The sequence below is a fragment of the Homo sapiens genome, chromosome 2, assembly GCF_000001405.40.
Source record: "Homo sapiens chromosome 2, GRCh38.p14 Primary Assembly".
Taxonomy (NCBI): Eukaryota; Metazoa; Chordata; class Mammalia; order Primates; family Hominidae; genus Homo; species Homo sapiens.
This window is the reverse complement of record NC_000002.12, coordinates 199,860,097-199,881,592: the sequence shown is the minus strand read 5'-3', so window position 1 is coordinate 199,881,592 and position 21,496 is coordinate 199,860,097. Positions and strand designations below refer to the sequence as shown.

The following is a 21,496-nucleotide window of genomic DNA, read 5'->3' as shown; positions in this document are numbered from 1 at the left end:
ATGTTTAAGATAGCCCTGATTGAACACATGAATGAGTTTCATTCATTAGACTAATAATAGTTATAAATCTTAGATTTTGCTTATTGAAACAAGTCTGCCTTGTTAGTTGTTTGAAGTGGCTCAGATAAACATATATCTTAAATTTGTCAATATAGTTTACAATGGTTAAGATAATTTTTTTGTAAGTGGGGGATTAACTGTTTAAGGAATTTTAGTATTGAACTTATAAATTAATTGAACATTAATCAAGAATAAATGAAAGGATTTTTATCCTCCAGCAGATTGGTAATGATTAAAAAAGTTGGGAAGATGAAGACCATGTTGCTTGAGGGAATGTAAAGCAGTAGAATCATTTGAAACACTATTTGGCATTCCTTACAACCCAGTGTTTCTACTCCTAGATATTTACCCTAAAAAGATTCCTACATGTATACACTAAGAGATGTGTCCAAGAATGTTCACAGTACCCTTGTTTGCAATAGCAAGACAAAACAAAACAAAAACTGAAAATAACCCAAATGTCTATTCACAGGAGCATGGTCATATAAATTGTTATTTATTCAAATTATGGAATATTATAAAGCAGTGAAAAACAAGTTAACTATAACCAGATGGAATAACTTTGGTGAGTCTTGGAAATATAATGTTGAGTAAAAAAAGCAAATTACAAACAAATGTAAAACATGACACCATGTAAGTTTGAAAGCAGACAACTGAACAATATGGTTTAGGAATACACACATACATTTGTGGGCAAAGCTATTATAGATAGATCTAAGCACATTCTACCAAGAAAAAAAAAACCTATTATGGAAAGCAAGGGAACTGTAAATATGAAAATACAAAAGGTAGTTGTTTTTGGAAGGAGTGGCAGAGGAAGAGAATGTAATCAGGAGGGGCTCAAAGGACCTAAAAGGCAATGTTCCTTTTCTTAAGCTGGTTTGTGGCTACGTGGATGTTTATTATTATTATTTTTTGGTTTTTCTTGAGACAGGGTCTCGCTCTGTCACCCAGGCTGGAGTGCAGTGGTATGATCACAGCTCACTGCAGCCTTGACCTCCCAGGCTTACGTGATCTTCCCACCTCCGCCTCACAGGTAGCTGGGACTACAAGCCCTTGCCACCACACCCAGTTCATTTGTTTATTTTTTGTAAGGACAGGCTCTTTGTGTGTTCTCAAGTTGGTGTTGAACTCCTGGACTCAAGCAATCCTCCTGCCTCGGGCTCTCAGGGTGTTGGAATTACAAGCATGAGCCACCACACCCAGCAACTGTATTATTCTTTAAATCATATATGTATACAGTTTTATAGGGCCGGGCCCATGGCTTATGCCTGTAATCCCAGCACTTTGGGAGGTCAAGGCAGGTGGATCACCTGAGGTCAGGAGTTTGAGACCAGCTTGGTCAACATGGTGAAACCCCATCTCTACTAAAAATACAAAACATTAGCCAGGTGTGGTGGCAGGCACCTGTAATCCCAGCTACTTGGGAGGCTGAGGCAGGAGAATCGCTTGAACCCAGGAGGCAGAGGTTGCAGTGAGCCATGATCACACCATTGCACTCCAGCCTGGGCAGCATGAGTGAAACTCCATCTCAAAAAAAAAAAAAAAAAAAAAATATATATATATATATATATATATATATATATATATATATATGTATATAATTTTATATGTGTCATTTTATATATGTGTGTACACACATACATACACATATATTTTTCTGTAGTATTGTAACCAAGCGGCTTAGCTTCCAACCATGTTTTAAAACTTCTTTTCTTTCTTCCTTTCTCCTCAGTCTCATGATGTAGCTTTGAGACAAACTACAATTGTTTATTTCTTCCTCTTGAAATATAGCCTCAGAATGTGCTGTGAACCTCCACTGCCTTCCCTTTCCCACTTTATGCTCCTATGCCTTATGCATATTTATTAACCCAAATGCTTGTTAACGCACACCATGCTCACTTACCTGGTCATATCTTTAGAAGCCTCAGGGGCTGGATCCTGACATGAACCAGACACCTCCAGAATTCTATCCCAAGCAAAAGATTATTTCAAGGCCAGAACTCACTCCCTGCTGGAGACTGACTACAAGATCCACTGAGATTGATGTGTAACCTGATTGGGCCCACAGTGATGCTAGCCCCTTCACCAGATGGAACAATAATTCCAGACAAGCCATCAGAGCAGGTCACACCACTTGACACCTTCTCGCCCCCTTGCCTCTCCTGCATTCCAAACCCCTCTCTTTAAAATCCCCATGTTCCCTCCGTAAACTGGGCAGTGCCAATTGTTGGAAAGAATTCTGGCACTCTTTTCCTTCTTAGCATGGATAAAAAGATTCACCCTCTTTTTATCACACCTCACTCTTGTTATTTTGGCTTCTTTCTACAAGTGGTGAGCAACCGGGCCCCCTTTGCTGGTTATAGTATGAACTATTTTATTTTTTTTAATCTACAATAAAATAAAATACATTCATTAGATTTCAAAGTGGTGTTTAATGGTTTAAGAAAAACTAGTTTTACATTTGCAACTTGAATATATTAGATATTATTAAAAGCACCACAATTGTTAAGTACTGCAGTACCTTTTCATCTTTGAAAGCCCTTTAGAACATTTGAAAACTCCACTGGCATAGTTGATACCTTTCTGGCTGTCTTTTCCCACTCCCCATTGGGAGCACCTACCATAATATTGATAGAGTCAGGAGACAGGGAAATTCTTAGCAGAAGAGGGTGGGTATCTGGTGAGGGCCCCACTCTCAAGCCTGGAACCTGGCCCAAAGTGTGAACATGCATTCCTGTTTTCCTGCTCAAATGTTGCCTTTTCCAAAACCACCCATGGCCTGCCCCACCCCCATCCTGTGCCCATAAAAACCCCAGTCTCCACCAGCAGAGAGCAGAGAAGAGGAGAAGCAGCTGGATGTCAGAGACTGCAGTTTGACGTTGGAGAAAAGCAGCTTGACTTCAGAGGGACAGCTTGACAGCATGGATTCAGAGAGGAGAAGATCACCTTCCTGCTCCGTCCCCTTTCCAGCTCCCTTTCCCACTGAGAGCCACTTACACAGGCAATAAAATCCTCTGCATTCACCACCCTTCAATTCATTCATGCAACCTGATTTTTTTCTGGATGCTGAACATGAGCTCAGGTACCATGGGTGCAGATGCAAAAGGCTGTCACACTGACCCTGTGCCCTTGCTGGCAGAAAGCAGCTGCCTCATGCAAAAAGGCAGAGGGCCACTGAGCTGTCAACACGTAAGCCATCTGCAGATGGCAAAGGTAAAAGAGAGCTGACTGTAACACTCCTGGGGCTTCAGGGGTCACCAGTTCCCCTTGCCTGGATGCTGCTTCAGGAACCACACGGAGTTTTGCTCCTGCTGGTGCCCAAAAGCACTCACACCAGCTCCTGCACCCACTCACCTGTGTGCGCCCTCCTTTGAGGGGTTGAGCACAACCCCTCACAGTTTGAGTAAGTGGAGTTTGCCCCTGTGAACACCAAAGTGGCTGGCTGACTCCAGAGCCCATACTCCAGATCCTGCCTGTGAAGGGATCAGGGAAAATTTCCTGCTTCAATATCTTAGATGAATTTTGGCTTTTACAAAAGACAGAAAGAGCTTGTTGAATATAAGTGACTTTTGCTTTTAAACTAAACTAAACAGCTACACAACTCTTCTGACAAAGGGAATACACAGCATGGCTTCTTGCTTGAAATGTGGGGGGAGAGAAAACGAGGAAATATAGGGAGGACAGGCACAAACTGATAAATTAACTTTCTATAGATGTTTTATACTTTTATAATTTTTCCACATTCAATTTTTTTTTCAGGATTTTTAGCGTTTATGTAATCTCTTTCTATCAGCATATAGTAAATAACACATTCATTTAAAAACCCCATATCCTGTCTTAATAGCATTCATAGCCAGAAGATTTTCTTCTCTCACAATTTTTTTTTTTTTTAATTTGCTTAAAATTGGTCTATCCCTGAAAGTCAGTCTTTCATCCTGGCATCTGAGTCCATGAAAAAGCCTTAAGTCATCCCTAGTGACTTTATAATCAAATTCCCTTCAACCAAATCCTTGTGTGGGCATTTGCTGACTTAAAAATTTCCCAATTGTGAATTGCCCTTTAGGTTCTGGGTTCTGTGCTCTTCCCTTCAGAAATTGTTTAGTGTTTTTCCTTCAGCAGAATTTTCTTTTTTCATGGATCTTAAGGGAATAATTAGGCATGATATAAATTCCAGAACCTCTTTACCGTTCTTTTCCTGCATTTGACATTCAATTTTCCTCTCCTATTTATTCATTCATTGTGTCCCTGTACCTTTTGCTACTTTTCATTTTGACTCCTTTTCTCTGTGTGTAAATGTTCATTCCCTGATTCCCAAAGTAAACGCATGACATTTAGTATAATATTTGGTTGCTTTTCTGCCCCCACATTTCTGCTGCATCTTTGTTTTGCTTGTCTCCAGCCCTTTTCAGTTTGTTTGTTCATACCTTTCTCATCTCAAACATAATTTATCCCTTTTACCAAACATTTTATCTTGGTGTTACTCCTTTTTAAGCTTTGACTCTCTTTTTGTTGGTCACGACTTACAAAAGTTTCGTCTGGGACAAAAGCAATAGATTGGCTCTCTGAATTCTCATTTGGTATTTTATGATAAGGAAGAATTAGTTATTATCCACATTTTACAGGTGCCTGAAGAAGATATAGAAAGGAAAATATTAACATCGTGCCTTAAACCATATGTTAAATCCTTTTTTTTTTTTTTTTTTTTTGAGACGGAGTCTCGCTTTGTCGCCCAGGCTGGAGTGCAGTGGCGTGAACTCGGCTCAGTGCAAGCTCCGCCTCCCGGGTTCACCCCATTCTCCTGCCTCAGCCTCCCGAGTAGCTGGGACTACAGGCACCCACCACCTCACCTGGCTAATTTTTTTTGTATTTTTTAGTAGAGACGGGGTTTCACCGTGTTAGCCAGGATGGACTCGATCTCCTGACCTCATGATCCGCCCGCCTCGGCACCCCAAAGTGCTGGGATTACAGGCGTGAGCCACCGCGGCCGGCCTGTTAAATCTTTTAGAAAGGCAAACTAGAGCAGAGAACTCCTACCCCCACATCTATTACAACCTGGTGCCCCATCACCTGGGTCCAGGGACCATCTTCATTAAAAGTTGTCCTTTGTGCCTTTCTACTCCAAACTCACAGATTTACAGATTTGGGCCCCGGAATCTCTATTTTTAAAAGAATTTCCAGGGTTATTCTTAGGCACAGTAAAGTTAAAAAAAAAATTAAGCCACTGATCTAGCTCTGCCTCCTAAGATAGCTGAGGAACTGATCCTTTCTGTGCATATACAATGTGTCTAATATAGTGCTCCATTTTATTCTTACATATGCATATTATAGCTAGTCAGGAACAAAATGACTTTAAACACTTGCCCCCAGGCAAGGGTGCAGGAGCATGACTGAAGTTCTATACTCATAGTTGTTTATTTTTTGAGACAGAGTTTCACTCTTGTTGCCCAGGCTGGAGTGCAGTGGCACGATCTTGGCTCACAGCAGCCTCCATCTCCTGGGTTCCAGTGATTCTCCTGCTTCAGCCTCCCAAGTAGCTGAGATTATGGGCACCCACCACCACACCTGGCTAAATTTTTTTTTTTTTTTTTTTTTTTGTATTTTTAGTAGAGACAGGGTTTCACCATGTTGGCCAGGTTGGCCTCTAACTCCTGACCTCAGGTGATCTGCCTGCCTCGGCCTCCCAGTGTGCTGGGATTACAGGTGTGAGCCACCATGCCCAACCCCACAAGGGGTTTTTAAGGAAAAAAAAACCTTCTAAGTTGTTTAACAAGAATTTACATTAAAGTAACATGAGCTATTGATTGGCTATACATTATCCTGGTATTACAAATTCCAGGAGCAGAAACATAAAGACAATGGGTGAAGCAGCTAGTCAGGAACAAAATGACTTGAAACAAATGCCCTCAGGCATGGGTTTGGGAATGGGGATTGGAATGACCGAACTCCCATTCTTCTCTCTGGGCCTGATAAATTGTGCATTCCTGACATAGCTTAGACTGCTCTGAACTATTTTTCTTTTTCTCAGTACATTCATTGCAATAAAAAATATAAATATTGCAGGAGCACAGGGAACTTTATCCTAAAATATGGCACCCTGGTATGATGAGTATTTTGAATTAAAGTGCCTCAGAAATCAACAGACTCTGGAAAAGACTTTTCTCCTATCTACATGAAGACCAGAGGGACTCACTAAGGAGAACAATTGTTTTTTCTTTCTCTCCCCATTATTTCTTTATTGCCAAAAAGACGACCAAGAATGTAACCACACCTGAACACATTTTTTCATAATACCTGTCTCTCAATCTCTACTCCTAGATCATTCATTCTCCCTAATAATCAGTTATCATCCCTCAACAGAATTTCCTATATTCCCCATCTTCCCTCTCTCCTTTAAAATAAGGCTATATAGGTATTTGGGTTCCACTGGAATATGGGGTAATTACTCTGTGGTTCTCCTCCATGTGAACATTAATAAATTTGTAGGCCTTTTCTCCAATCAATCTGCCTTTTGTCAGTTTATTTTTAAGCAAATCTTTTAAGGTCAAAGAAGTGTTCCCTTTGCCCCTACAGGATTATAGAAAACATTCTGTGTTTCAGTGGAAAACTGCACTGTCTCTTAGCATGCCCTTCTGGGTTACTATTGGATTCTAGCCTTGTTCATTTTCATTGAGTTGTTTTGCAGCTCTCTGTAGCCTGTTATTCATAGGTTTGTATATCTGTCCTGTCTGCTAGTGACCATGGCTGAAATTTTAAAATTGAAAACTGACTTAAAACGTACCAGTTCAAGTCAAAGTGCTGTTCTCTTCCCAGTGGGTACAAATTATTGATTTGAAATAAAAGTAGACAAACAAACAGAAAAGACTAACAAACCAGATATTCTGTCGCCTCCTACCCAACAGAGACAAGATCTCCATAAACTTTTTATTTGTTTACAGAGATCACCAAATAATCTGACAATAAAACCAAATTCCCAATGGGAAATAATTTATTGGCCATATAGAAACCAAAACTAAAGTCACCCTAGAGCAAAATTTAAATGAGAAAAACAGAATCTGTTAAAGCCTAATGGGTTCTTCTTGCCCAGTGCACAAGTAAAGCCAATACACTGAGACAGTGGTGTTGCAGCAGAGAAAGAGTTTAATTACCACAAGGCAGCCAAACAAAAGAATGGGAGATAATTTTCAAGTTTGCCTCTGAGAATTTGTGGGCTATGGTTTTTCAAGGATGGTTTGGCAGGCAGGGGGCTAGGGAATGGGGAACGCTGAATTGTTGTGTTGGGGATGAAATTGCAGGAGTGTAAAAACTATCTTCTTGTGCTGAGTCGGTTCCTGGGTGGGAGTCACAAAACCAGTTGAGTCAGTTTATTGGTATGGGTTATCGATCTGGGTGGCACCAGTTGGTCCATCACAGTGTAAGTTCTGAAAAATGCCTCAAACACCAATCTTAGATTTTACCTTAGTGATGTTATCTATAGGAATAATTGGGGAAGTTACAAATCTTGTGACCTCCAGCTACATGACTCCTGAGCAGTAAGCAGTTATGAAAAGACAAATTATGAAACAATGCCTTGTTAGAGTAAAACTCTACATACATCTTAGCAGAGGAAACAATGCCTGGTTGGAGTTTAACTATGCCTACATCCTAATAGAATTCAGGCCTCTACCATAATTCTAACCTTGTGGCTAATTTTAGTTTTACAAAGGCAGTTTTGGTCCCCAAGCAAGGAGGGGGTTACTTTCTTTTTTATTATTATTGTTATTATTATTTTTTTTTCAGGTAGAGACAGGGTCTTGCCATGTTGCCCAGGCTGGTCTCAAATTCCCGGGCTCAAGGGAACCTTCCACCTCAGCCTCCCAAAGTGCCGGGATTACAGGTGTGAGACACTACACCCAGCCAAAAGGGTTAGTCTTGGTAAAAGACTGTTATCACCTTTGTTTTAAAGTTAAACTGTAAACTGAATTCTTCCCATAGTTAGCTTGGCCTATGCCCCGAAATGAGCAAGGACAGTTAGCTTGTGAGCTTAGAAGCAAGATGGAGTCAGCTATGTTAGATATCTCTGTCATAATTTTTGCAAGACCTCATCGCTTTAAAAAAATAAAATCTCTGTAAGGAGCTCTATTCTGACTGGCTTATAGAAATAACTAAGTTATTATATAAATTGAATATTCCTAAAATTCCAGAAAATAAAGAAATTGAACTTCTAATACTTTTAGTATGCTAGATTTAAGAAGTATTTTTTACTGCAACTAACTAGGAAATGTTTTAAGAAGTCAAATTTGGCTGGGCGCAGTGGCTCACACCCATAATCCCAGCACTTTGGGAGGCCGAGGCAGGTGGATCATGAGGTCAAGAGATGGAGACCATCCTGGCCAACATGGTGAAACCCCATCTCTTCTAGAAATATAAAAATTAGCCGGGCGTGGTGGTGCATGCCTGTAATCTCAGCTACTCAGGAGGCTGAGGCAGGAGAATTCCTTGAACCCAGGAGGCGGAGGTTGCGGTGAGCAGAGATTGTGCCACTGCACTCCAGTCAGCCTGGCTAACGAGTGAAACTCCGTCTCAAAAAAAAAAAAAACCAAGTCAAAGTCACATAATTTAGGTAAGTCTTTGCTAAGCAAGGCTAGTTTAATATTTTTGGTTTAATAACAAAACAGCTATCTTCTATGATTTATCAGTGTTAAGTACAATATAAGCATCAATTTTTATTCTACTTGGGTGTATTCTTTCTAAACTTGTACAGGTTTACTGATCAAATAAGCTAGCACTACTTCTACTTAATATTTAAAGTTATAAAAATTATATATGTATTCAACCAAATTGACTCATTGCTCTAACAAAATTTTATTTTAGCAGTGATTATGTTTCATAGTATGTCAACTTGGAGATAATTTCCAAGATCTATTGATAACTTAAAACCTTAGGCTGATGTTAAATTGAATTAATTAATGGCTATTCATTGAATGCCTAGATAATTTGTAAGTTACTATAACATTGATTATTATCTATTTTTTTACTTGTTAATTGTTTATTTGTCAAGAGAGAAATTATTTCTTAGCCCACATAGTCATGTTTCATAGTTCAGGAACACAAGTCAGTGACAAACTTCTAGGCAATTTAACTCAAAGAAATTCTTCATATTCCAGAATTATTTTGTATTATAAAAGATACCAGCCTTCCTTATCTCCTTAAAATCTTTCATGGAATCATAATTTTTGTAGAAATCTGCACGTTTCCCTTCTTGGTTCAACCACAGCAAACTTATAGAGAGCCACAACCTCCAGGAACACAATGCTCCAACAATATGAAATTGCAGATGTTTGACCAGAAGGTCATGCATCTGAGGTTTCATCAAAGCACTGACAAGCCATGGCAGTTATTGTCCTTGATAAGTACATCAGCCTCAAAACCAGTATCCTTCCTGGCTGATAGAGAAATGAACAGCACCTACTAAGCATACTTTTAAGATTGTGCTTTTGCTTCTTATTTTTATATGCCACAGAAGGACAAACTTGGGGTTTCTTACTGTGTTCATTTTTGCCACCTTGAAAATTGGTATAAAGTATGGCTGTAGAAAGTTGTGTTAAACGTTTTCATGAACTCTGCAGGACTGCAAGGATGCTGGTGTGTAACATGGTTGTCCACCTCTTTTCCCTCCCACTCCCCAATTTTCTATGAAAATAGAAATTACGGCCGGACGTGGTGGCTCACGCCTGTAATCCCAGCACTTTGGGAGGCCGAGGCGGGCGGTTCACGAGGTCAGGAGATCGAGACCAGCCTGACTAACACGATGAAACCCCGTCTCTACTAAAAATACAAAAAATTAGCCGGGCGTGGTGTCGGGCGCCTGTAGTCCCAGCTACTCGGGAGGCTGAGGCAGGAGAATGGCGTGAACCAGGGTGGCGGAGCTTGCAGTGAGCCGAGATTGCGCCATTGTACTCCAGCCTGGGTAACAAGAGCGAAAGTCCGTCTCAAAAAAAAAAAAAAAAAAGAAAAAAAAAGAAAAAGAAAACAGAAATTACTTAGGTTAAAAATTATAATTAACGTATATAAATGAGACTACCTCGGAGCAATAGTTTCGGAGAAATACAGTTGACCCTTGAACAGTGTAGGGGTTAAGGATACTGACTCACCTCTCCGTAGAAAATCCACATATAAATAAATAAAATATAAATATATTTTAGAGACAGAGACTCACTTTGTCACCAAGGCTGGAGTGCGGTGGCACGATCATGGCTCACTGAAACCTTCACCTCCCGGGCTCAAAATCTCCTCCTGCCTTAGCCTTCTGAGTAGCTGAGGCGCCACCACGCCCAGCTACTTTTTGTAGAGAAGGGGTTTTTACCATGTTGCCCAGGCTGGTCTCGAACTCCTGGGCTCAAGTGATCTGCCTGCCTCGGCCTCCCAAAGTGCCAGGATTACGGGCATGAGCCACTGTGCCTTGCCTGTTCTAATTTAAAATTTAAAAAAAGCAAAAATTTTTTAAATTTAAAATAAACTAAAGAAGATGAAAAGGACATAGGTCCATTACTAAAATAATTATTTCTGGTTCCATGGTAACATTTTAGAGACAGCTTTGCTATGTCAAAAATAAAATTAGAGCTTTACAGGATGAATAATACATTGAGACAACAGAGGGACTTTTTTTTCCAACATTTCCAACCAAGTCTCTGACCCTATTGCAGCAAGTTAAATGTCCCATGTCTGTATAAAGTACTCCAGCAGATTTAGGATTGGAATGCAAAAATTACATTGTAATACTGAATAAAACTGGGGCTAATGTGAGGAAATATGAACTCTTGGAGGAAGTTCAAGCATCAACGAAAGTAGTCATGGAATTGCAGTTTGTTATTATAATAGATACTTAGAAAAAAATGTCTTCTGAAGAATGAAGGTGAAAAATCCTACATTCCCTATTCTAGAAGTTGAACTACTGTACCTAGTTCTGTTGTGACAGAATGTATTCCCAGGTTTTAAATGTTTTTTCCTTCTTTTCCTTCTCAGAGGGACAGCATCACAGGTGTAGGAGCTGCTGTTGTCTTTAATCTATTTCCATTATACGTTTAGGGGGTGGGGGAAGTAAAGAAGGGTTAGATTTGGGAACCCAAAAAGACAATGAAGAATCACACAGGGTTTTGTTAAAAAAAAAAAAAAAAGGAAAATTTAGTTTTTCATAACTAGATAACCAGTTTTAAAGTGTTCCTCTCTTTCTTGTCACTACGTTTTAATGTAAGATGCATTGAACAGACCTAAACAGGAAATTGAGTGGTGTAATTTAGTGAAATAAATGCAGGATTAAACTGCTGCATACAGAAAAAAATACTATCTACATTTTCCTAAATGTTCAGGTTTCTAAAAATATATAGGTATAACTTTAATTTTATGAACTTAATAAGTTGGATTTCCTGCCTTTTTTATTTCACATAAATTCACCAGGGAATCTAGAGGCAGTCTCTGAAGTTATCAGGGCTACTGCAAACCACCTCACAAAGATTCCATTTAAAAATCTTCCCTAGAGGACAAATTTAGTGAAAGTTCAGTTTATAATTTGCCTCCTGAATAATGCCAGAAGACCAAACTGACTCTGTCTGAATTCGATCCTTTAGCTCAGTGATTTCTCACCTGAGCTTTGGACCATTAAATAGTGCTTTAAGTACTTTAGCAAGGCATTCATACACTGTGTTTCTAATCAGGAAAACATACAACAAGATCTGTCCTTAAGCTGTTTTACTTTGCCTTATAATGGTCTCCATTTCCTTTCATGCAGCATTATCTTGATGAATTGCTGTTTTTAAAGATCACCTTTTGCCTGGAAAGTGTGCAATAGATCAGGCATGATGAGGGTCTGTGTGGAGGCTGAGATTTTGGTCAAATTTTGTATAACCCCGTTGCCTGCTGTATTAATATACCATGCTATTCCTGAATTTCCTCTTTGTTTCTAGTTTGTATACTGTATATTTTAGCAAATTTGACTGGGTGGATTCTTCCAACAATAAGGCATATTCAGTAGCTAAACTAGTACTAAAAATCATACAAGATTATCATAATCCAAAAAAATCTGTAGAGTACGGAAACTGTTGAAAGAAAGAAGAAAGAGAAAAAGGAAGGAAGGAAGGAAGGGAGGGAGGGAGGGAGGGAAGAGTTCTATAAGTCAGGTCACATTCCTTGAATTCAAATGTTAATTATTCCCAATGACAATTACTGTGGTAATTGATTTATAGAGGTATGTTAGAATTTGAATCACCTACATTTATCCCTAGAAATCTAGCAATAGTTTAAAGAAAACTTACATGGTAATTTGTCTGTACTTATTGCACTTGGAGGAACACTTAAAAAACACTACACATAAACAAAAACAAAGCAGGCACATCACTGTGGAGTACAAGTTCCTTAGAGTGACAATAACAATTAGTATGAAAAGAGCAGCGTTGGCTCCACTGAGGACTACCATTTCTTTAAAAGCAAAGGAGCAATTTAGAGGAAAGCTATCAAAATTAGTCACTGTATCAGTGAGTTGATTGTTAAATAATGTCCTGAACTGACTTTGAAATAACACATGGGTATAGCAATGTTACTATGTAGGGCAAATGGTAAAGAAACACCTTCTGAATTCGTTTTAATTTACCTTACCTTTTCTTTTTTTGTCAAGTAAGTTTTTCATTTTTTTCATCAAGAAGTCAAGAAAGCACCTGTCCCTCTGTTAATTTTTTTACAGTATTAGATTTATACCTCTATTAAAGGATTTCAAAACTGCTTTGTAATTATCGAGAACAGATCTCAAGTTCTCATTTAAAAATAAAGTTAATGTCATGCCCAAAGTCATGGAGAAATTTAGAAGTGGTGTTTAAAATAGAAATTTAGACTACTGACTTGAAATCCCATGCTCTGACCACGAGACCACACGCCTGCCCAAAGATACTTAAAATTTTTACTAAGCTATTCTTCTTTGTAATTAGATGCAGTGATTAGAGTGTCTTTTGCATTACTCTGCATTTTTCTTTTAAGTCAGGATTGTAAGCCACATAGGGCACTGTCCTTTACAAAACTAAACAAGGGATTTTCAGTTTTGCAATACAATCTCCTGATATTTGTTTATAGGTTTCACACATCAAAAACAATGAAATCTGTAATTTTTCAAATTACAATTCTCTCATTCTCTAAGTTATGTGCCTATGAGAATTTGCAAATCTTTTGAAGAGAATGTAATCTTTATGCTTACAAAATGTAGGCTTTCATATTTGGGTGCAATTACAAATCAAGGCCTTTTTTCCCCATAATAATCAGTTTCTCAAAGTTGTGGGTTTTCCTCATTTGAAAATAAATTAATGGGAATTTTAAGTTATAATTCATCCAGCTATTCAATCTTTTGAATCTTCAAAATTAGAAACCATTTATATTCTCAGTTCCCAAAGGAGAAATGACAGAAAGTGCTTTGTATCAGAGCATATAAATTACAATACTTTTGATTGGGGAAATAAAAATAAACAGTTAAAACTAGTTAAATTTAAATTAAAAAAGAAAGCTTTTATGTGTCTGCTCATTGTTTTATGTTTTTTCATTACAGGTATGTACTGTGTGACTTAAATATTGAGTTTATTTTTATCAAATACCTGTCAAGAAAGAAAGTCAATTCTGAAACAGCAGAAGCTCAAAGTTCTACAGATGGCTTTCAAAGGAATTTGAATTAGACATCATTTGATGTTGCAAAAAACAATGACATCTTTTATAGCTCTAAACATCAGTTTTTAAATTAGAGATTGATCTATAAAGGAGCTAAGTTTGCATAATCATTATTCATTTTAAGATAATAATATATGATAGGTACTAAATTATATAGTAGTTTTGTGTAGAGATTTATACATATTTTCTGATTGCCATCATCACATCATCTAATTATTTAGAAATTTCATTTTCAGAACCTTGGATTTTGGACATAGAGCTTTGAAAAATATTGTACTTTATTTTGAGATGAAAATGTGGTCATTCACATTTTCACAGACCTGCGTGGAGCAATCTGCAGGGTGGGGGTGAGATTTGGGAGTAGAGGGGAGGTGGTAATAGACACACACAAAACTTGTTAATTGCTATACAAGAAGCATGTGCTTTAAAAATGACAATAACAATCACAAAACCAGTTTATCATTGTTTTACATATTTATTTAGTTCACTACTATGGGCTTTTTGTTGGGGTTTCCCAGAGGGAAACTAAGGTAGAATCAGGAACAACACTGCCCACATACAAAGGGGGAGTCTTCCAAGTAGTAAGCCCCTGCCTCTTGATCTCAACTCTAGCACACACATTGGAAGGCAGGCCCTTTGTCTAATTTGCTCAACACTGTACCTCTATCATCTAGAGCAAGAAATGAAGGAATGGATGAATAATAAAGAATAATGATTCCTTTGGATACCTTTTAAATCATGTTACCAAGTTAACATTAATACTCATAGATAGACTGAAAGTGTTGTCACGGATCAGTGAGTGACGTAGGAAGTCTACACATGGAAGGTATAATACTTGAGAGAACAAAGTCATGGCTGGGGAAATGGCTCTCTGACAGTGGCCACTTGGGTAATCTGAACTTTTCCAAAATGGACATAAGTCATGGAAAGAACAGTGCTCTATTCACTTCAGAAACCTCCCCTTGAATGTGCGTGAAATATGATAGCTGGGCTTCCTTTAAAATTATACTTTGAAGAGCAGGGTAGAGAGGACAGGAAAATTAGATGAATTAGAGATGCAATAAAATTGGCTTTGTGTTAATAATTGTTAAGATTAGGCATGTGGGATTCACTTTGGTGTCTGAAATTTTCTATAATAAAAAGTCAACAAACATACACATCTCCACTTAAGAGCCTGACATAATAAACATTTACACTGCTTAATGTGTAAATATAGTCTAATCTTAGAAAGCACTTCTTACATAGATTAAGAAAATTTAAAAAAAGTTTTTCTTCATGACAAAAAAAATTGCTTTCAGCTCTAGATGCAACAAATCATGATAGAAATTGGTACTAGGCTGGGTGCCGTGCCTCATGCCTGAAATCCTAGCACTTTGGGAGGCCAAGGTGGGTGCACTGCTTGGAGTCTAGGAGTTCAAGACCAGGCTGGGCAACATGGCAAAAACCTGTTTCTACAAAAAATACACACACACACACACACACACACACACACACACACACACAATTAGCCAGGCATGGTGGCAGGTGTCTGTAGTCCCAGCTACTCAGGAGGCTGAGGTGGGAGGACCTGAGCCCAGGAGGTTGAGGCTGCAGTGAGCTGTGATCACCACTGTACTCCAGCCTGGGAGACAGCGTGAGATCCTGTCACAAAGAAAACCTCCAAAAACCAAAAAACAAACAAACAAACAAACAAACAAACAAAAAACCCACAAACAACAACAACAACAACAAAAGAAACTGACGTCACTATACATCATTAATATCAGGTTTTTAATGATCTTGGGGGAAACTAAGGAGCTATGCATATTACTTATCTTTACGCAAAGTCTGCATGATTCTCAGCACATTTTTGTACTCACTTGGACAAGGGCTGAGTAAGTCAAGGAAAGTCATTGAAAAAGAGACCAAATAACCACCATGTATCTCAGTAACTCACCTGCCGCCAACCATCTGCCAAAAAGACTTAAGTGCCGTCCTCTTGTCAGGTGGTAGAATTTATCATTTCATAATGTTTTTATGTGATTCTCATTGTTTGATCACAAGTCAGATTTATTTATCATCTAAAATTAATCTTGGATCCTGGCTTAACAACCTTTTAATGATTTTCTAGTTCTCTTAAAGTCTTGTTCCTTAACATGGGATTGTGTATTTTCCTGCCTCTTTAGAAACATTTTTGGGACTCCTTTAGCTTGGTGATTTGTGACCTCATAAATAAATACTAGTTAAATGAATATTAGATAATTAGTGTAAAATGAGTTTGACTTTGAATTGTCAATTATCTTTAGGCACAATCATTAGTGTGGTGATGCATTCAAATAAGAGTTGATCAAACGGAGTAAAGGAGGTGATTTTTCTAGTCCAATCCCCACACTTTCCCACTCAAATGATAACTTCAAGATTGATTTGTGAATGTTTGGCATGAAAGCTTAAAAAAGACAGCTACATATTATAGGGTCCTAAAGGCCAGGAATTATTTCTCTGTAAGTACCTTTTTCATTTTCTCACAACACCTAATAGTTCTGTAGCATAGCAGGCCTCAATGCTTTTTTCTGTAATAATTACCATCACTACCACCAGACATTCTGATATGAAAATACACGGTTCTAACCTTTAATAGTGTAAATCTGAAATTTTAAAAGCTAAGTTGTTATTGAATTAAGAAAATATAAAATGACATCAATACTAAGGCCAAAAAAACCCTTTAATAGAAAAGGTCAAAATTAAGTGAGCTGTTTACTTAAAATTATACTTTGACTCATATTCATACAGTATATTTTGTAGAACCCAGCTGACCCTCCACCCCAAATCTATCTACTTACAAAAAGAGGGGTTTATGATTCAAATGCTATAGAAGGAGGAAATCTAATTTTGACCTTGAGTCAAACTGATGCCAAAGGGAGTTTATGGTTTTCTCTACTTTATAAGCTGTAATTGCAAATACAGTTTCCTTCATCTAAAAAACCATTCCACCCTGAAATTTTCAAACAAAAATAGTTTTCAGAAACATTGGCAAAAGATATCTTCAAAGGAAACTAACTAGTTTGAATTAAAAGGAAAGGGAGGAGAGAGATGGTGGATTTTTTTTTTTTTTGATGGTGGATATTTTTAAAGGGATTATGTTTTCAATATTTTGGGCACAAGATGTCTAATTCCTATTTTTTAAAGCATTTCTCATTTAAAATTTAAAGTAGATTAGTAACTTAAATGTGCTTAATTTGTAAATAAGATAAAAATAGCAAAAACGCGTATAAGATAACTTTAAGAGAAAAACAGTAATATAAAATCCTTTCTCTAAATATTAAGGAGAAACAAAGTTATCAGTAAATGCCATGAAATACTGAAATATAAGGGTCCATATCATATAATTAATACAAATGTAGTAATGGTATGAAATTTAGTGACCAAAAGTATTTTTGACTATTTTTGTCAGAATATTTGATATTATAACTTCATAATAACTTTAATTTCAACAAATAAATTATGTTAGTTGCCCCAATCCTGTTATTATGGTGTATGTATAGGTTAAACTTAAAATCCTAACTAACTTTGAGATTAACTGACTAATCACCTTTGCTGCAACTATTGGCTAACATTCAACATAAGACATGTTAGGTATCCAGTTTTACAAAGTTAGTATAATATTTCAGTAGATGAGAGGTTAGGGTAGCGCATTCAGTGGAAATGTCATTGCTTCTTACTCCTCATCACAGCAGGTTCCAAACTTTAATTTTCTCACTCCTTGTAAACACATAACTCTTTTCTTTGCATTGCGTATATATACATAGTTTTTTTTTTTTTAAGGTTCTCACACCTACTTTTGATTCCAGGGATTATTGAACATGGACTTTCATCACCAAAATCATATTCGACTGAGGTAGCACAAGGGAACACACTGAGTTAGTCTCAATATATTTTGAGCTTACCTTTGAATTAAATATATCAAATACAGAAATGGAAACTGGAGACATCTGAATCTTTGAGGTATCTCAGATATTGGACTGAAAGTTCATTTGTCTTTTAAATGGCCATCCTAATGTTAAGTTCAGAGGTTCTTATTCATTTCTAGAAGGAAATAATTAAATACATTTTTTAAAAGGAGCGGGAAAAAATATTCAGAGAAGCATAAAATTTTCTGAGAAGTAACTTTGTGTCAGGACAGGCTAAAACAATAGGCTTAGAATGGTAAAGCCAATTTCTGAAGTGATAGCCCCCAAAAATCCTGCCAAAAATAAATTGACTAACCAAGACAAAATAAAACAAACTCAAAACAAAAACAATCAGAAAACAAAGGTAATGTTTCAGAATTGTTGAAGTTATAACAGCCATTGTGAATATCCAATAAGACATATACCATGAAGTGAGACCGAAAGTTATTTTGATTGTGGAACCCTTAACAGGGTAAATGTTCTGCAGGCTCTCTTCAGGAAAAGATAAAAGATGTATGATTACAGTCTGTAAAATATGTAAGATACAAAAGTTTCAGAGAATTAGAAGCTGATTTTAGAAAAGTAAGATTAGGTGAATATTCTCTGAAATTTGAAGAAAATATTCACAAATAAAATGGAAGTCTTTCTGATGTGGTATATATTGAAAATAAATGGTATAAAGAAAAGTTTAAAAACTTAAAGGGTACTTCTACCTTTGATCACTAGGAGGGAAAGTTAGAGATGGTTTTGTTAAGTCCTTAAATGTGCAGGGTGACACTACTCAAATCATTCCCTAGGGCCACTAGCAGAAAGAGAATATTAAAGTTGGGCTAGGCTCCTACCCAGCAGAACAATTCATAGAATCTTAATCTGTTAAGCTGGAAAGGACATTAAAGAACACCCAGTCCAGCCGCCTCATTTGACAGATACGGGAACTGAGATGCAGAGGGGCTGAGTCATTTGTCCAATGTTATGCACTTGGTGACAGGCTGGAATAGAAATATGGTTTCTTAATCCCTGGTCTGAAGTTTTTTCCACTATGGAATATTGACTAATCGGGGGCATCTCTATGCTTACTCAAAGCCAAAAACTATGTTATTCATAATGTGGATTGCCTTCTTACACAGGTAAGTGGGTTAAATAGAGCTAAATGCCATTACAACTATTGTGATTATTCGAGCTGGCTGACTTGATCTACCTGCTGGGGATCTATCTTCAACCACAAAGACCTGCAAAGGAGTCCACTGTCCTGTAACGTAATATTGTTACTTTGGGGTCAAAACAATTATGTGAAAGTTCTTGCAAGAAAAGTTATCTTTTAGACACCCTTGTATTCTTACCATTTCCCTAAATAATGGTACCTTATCTTAGAGAAAAATGGAGCTTAGATACCCACATACGCTGGGCTGAACTCAGTTGGCCATTCTTGATGTTTCCATGTGGAGAGATGAGGAGATAATCAAGGAATAGAATCTTCTAGTATATGGCTATGCTTAGTTTATGTCATGAAGAAGAGAAGGAGATTGTCTATCAGGATGGAAAATAACAAATTAGAATGTTAATCAATTAAACATTTTGCCTATAAAATTGGACTGTAATTATTGACACATCCATTAATAGAAATGCTTTTTTCCATACAGTAATCCCATGCAGGGTACTCGTATGGTCCTTAGCCTTTAATGCTCCTGGTATTTCGTGATAAATATTTACTTTCAAGTTAGAAAGAAAAAACTCACATATTTAAAAAAAGAGGAAGGTACTTCAAATCCATTATGTTTTACATCATTTTCTTTCTATTTAATTCTTCTTTTAGGTTTAGAATAAGTGTATATCGAATACATTTTTAGGCCAAATTCCCAATGGCTAAGTATTGGATCAACATTTTTTGGAGGCTGATGCTAGATACCATCATAGAATGAACTCCTTAGATATAATACAAAATGTGAACTGTAACTGCAATTATGCTTATATAATAAAAAATTTAGTAATCAGATTTTAAAAGTTTGACATCATGGTACAGGAATGAATATTCATATTATTGTCAATCTATATCCCTATTTCTCAATTTAACAGCTTAAAGATTCTTATTTGTTTTCTGTGTAAGCTTACTAGCTTTCACAATCTTCCCTAATTTTGCAACACTGCTCTTCCAATACTTACAGCACATAAGGAAATTTTAATTCTAAGTTATATCTGTACATTCAAAATGAATATTCAAATATTAAACAGTACATTAGGATGACCTTTCTTGTTGGCACATCCCTTCTTTGCTGATTGTACATGGTAGTAACCTATAAAAGACACACATGATGATGACAGTGATGTAGGTTTGTGGCTATTTGACTTTCCAAAGGCCAAAGAGGAAGCTGTAGTTGAAACCAAACAGTAAATCTTGGCCGAATATAAAAATTGAAGTCAAACTTCACTACGTCTCTAATTCAGAGTTTGGTGGAACATTTCAATAAACACAACTTATTTTTTCTTTATAGTTTATTCTTTTCATCCTTTTCTGAAGAAATGACTAGACATTTTAAACTGAAATCCATGAATTCCTCTGAGATCCACAAGATGGTGCTATAAAGTGGCATTTAGAAAATTTTGACAAACCATATGACTTCCAGGAGCAAATACTTATTAGGCACGGTCAAATAATTATAATTTAACAATATCAGCTACAGATAAATGGTATTTTTAAAAGGCAATAGTAAACTAAATTCGTTAAAATAAAGGAAGTATACCTTTACTCTTAATGTTGTTTTTAAATATTCTGTCTCATAAATTATATTTTTGTTGACTCTGTTTTCAATCTCGGGTTTTAAGACTATTTTGTGAGAAGATTAAGAATTGATTTGGATCTCAACAAGGCTAAATCATATTAGAGAAAGTACTGAACTGAATTGGAGACCAATCCCTGCTCTCCACCTGAATTGCTGTAACCAGTCTTCTTTCCATCTCTTCCAGTGGTTCTCAACCAAGGGCAATTTTGCCCTTGGCAGGTCTTTGGCAATGTCTGGAGACATTTTTGGTTTTTCCAGCTGCATGGGTGGGGGTGGAGGGAACTGCTGCTGGCATCTAGTGGGTAGAGGCCAGGGATGCTGCTAAGCGTCCTTTAGTGCACAGGACAGCCTCCCACAACAAAGAATTACACTGCTCAAAATATAACAGTGCCAAGGTTGAGAAATTGACCTATTCATTCACTTCCTTGTTGTTGGTTTGTTTGTTTATTCATTAATTCGTCCACGCATTCATTCACTGATGCATATACTTATCCACCATCAGTCCATGAATTCATTCCTTCAACACATTTTTTACAATGTGCCTGCCATGATTCAAGACTGGACTAAGGGCTGTAATGGCTCATGCCTGCAACCGCAGAACTTGGGAGGGCAAGGCAAGAGGATTTCTTGAGGCCAGGAGTTTGAGATCAGTCTGGGCAACGCAGTGAGACTGTGTCTCTAACAAAATTTTAAAAATTAGCTGTGTGTGGTGGCATAAGACTGTAGTCCCAGCTACTTAGGTGGCTGAGGAGGGAGGATTGCTTGAGCCAAGAAGGGCGAGGCTGCAGTGAGCCATAATCACACCACTGTACTTCATCCTGAGCAGGAGCAACCCTGTATCTAAAAAAAAAAAAAAAAAAAGATACAAAGATAAGGACTATCCTGTTTCTATTTAATCTGACAGGAGAGAGAGATGCTTATGAAATAATCTAAACAATAATATGATGTGATTAGTGTTTCATTTCTAAGTGTAAGATGTTCTAGGAACAAAGAAATTATTTAATGAATCCTAGGAAAGAGGATAGAATTCAGGAAGTCTTCACAGAGATGGGG

The 21,496-nt window shown here is 37.3% G+C and overlaps 1 long non-coding RNA gene across 2 annotated transcripts in view, besides 1 other annotated feature; it reads left to right on the top strand.

Moving 5' to 3' along the window:
* LOC101927687 (uncharacterized) overlaps nt 1–3,097 on the top strand; it is a 32,651-nt gene extending 29,554 nt beyond the window's left edge. Inside the window, exons 3-4 of one of the 2 annotated variants that reach the window (XR_923766.4) lie at nt 1,983–2,187; nt 2,893–3,097. This is a non-coding gene — a long non-coding RNA (uncharacterized LOC101927687). Of the gene's footprint in view, nt 1–1,982; nt 2,481–2,892 lie in introns of those variants that run through there. The other variant, XR_923769.4, reaches the window with a different exon arrangement.
* Nucleotides 11,294–12,019: an enhancer, noted in NCBI's record as "OCT4-NANOG-H3K27ac hESC enhancer chr2:200734297-200735022 (GRCh37/hg19 assembly coordinates)". NCBI's record gives its function as "activates a minimal SCP1, AML or CMV promoter by ChIP-STARR-seq in primed H9 embryonic stem cells {active_cell/tissue: H9 hESC(primed)}" and the evidence as "EXISTENCE:reporter gene assay evidence [ECO:0000049][PMID:30033119]".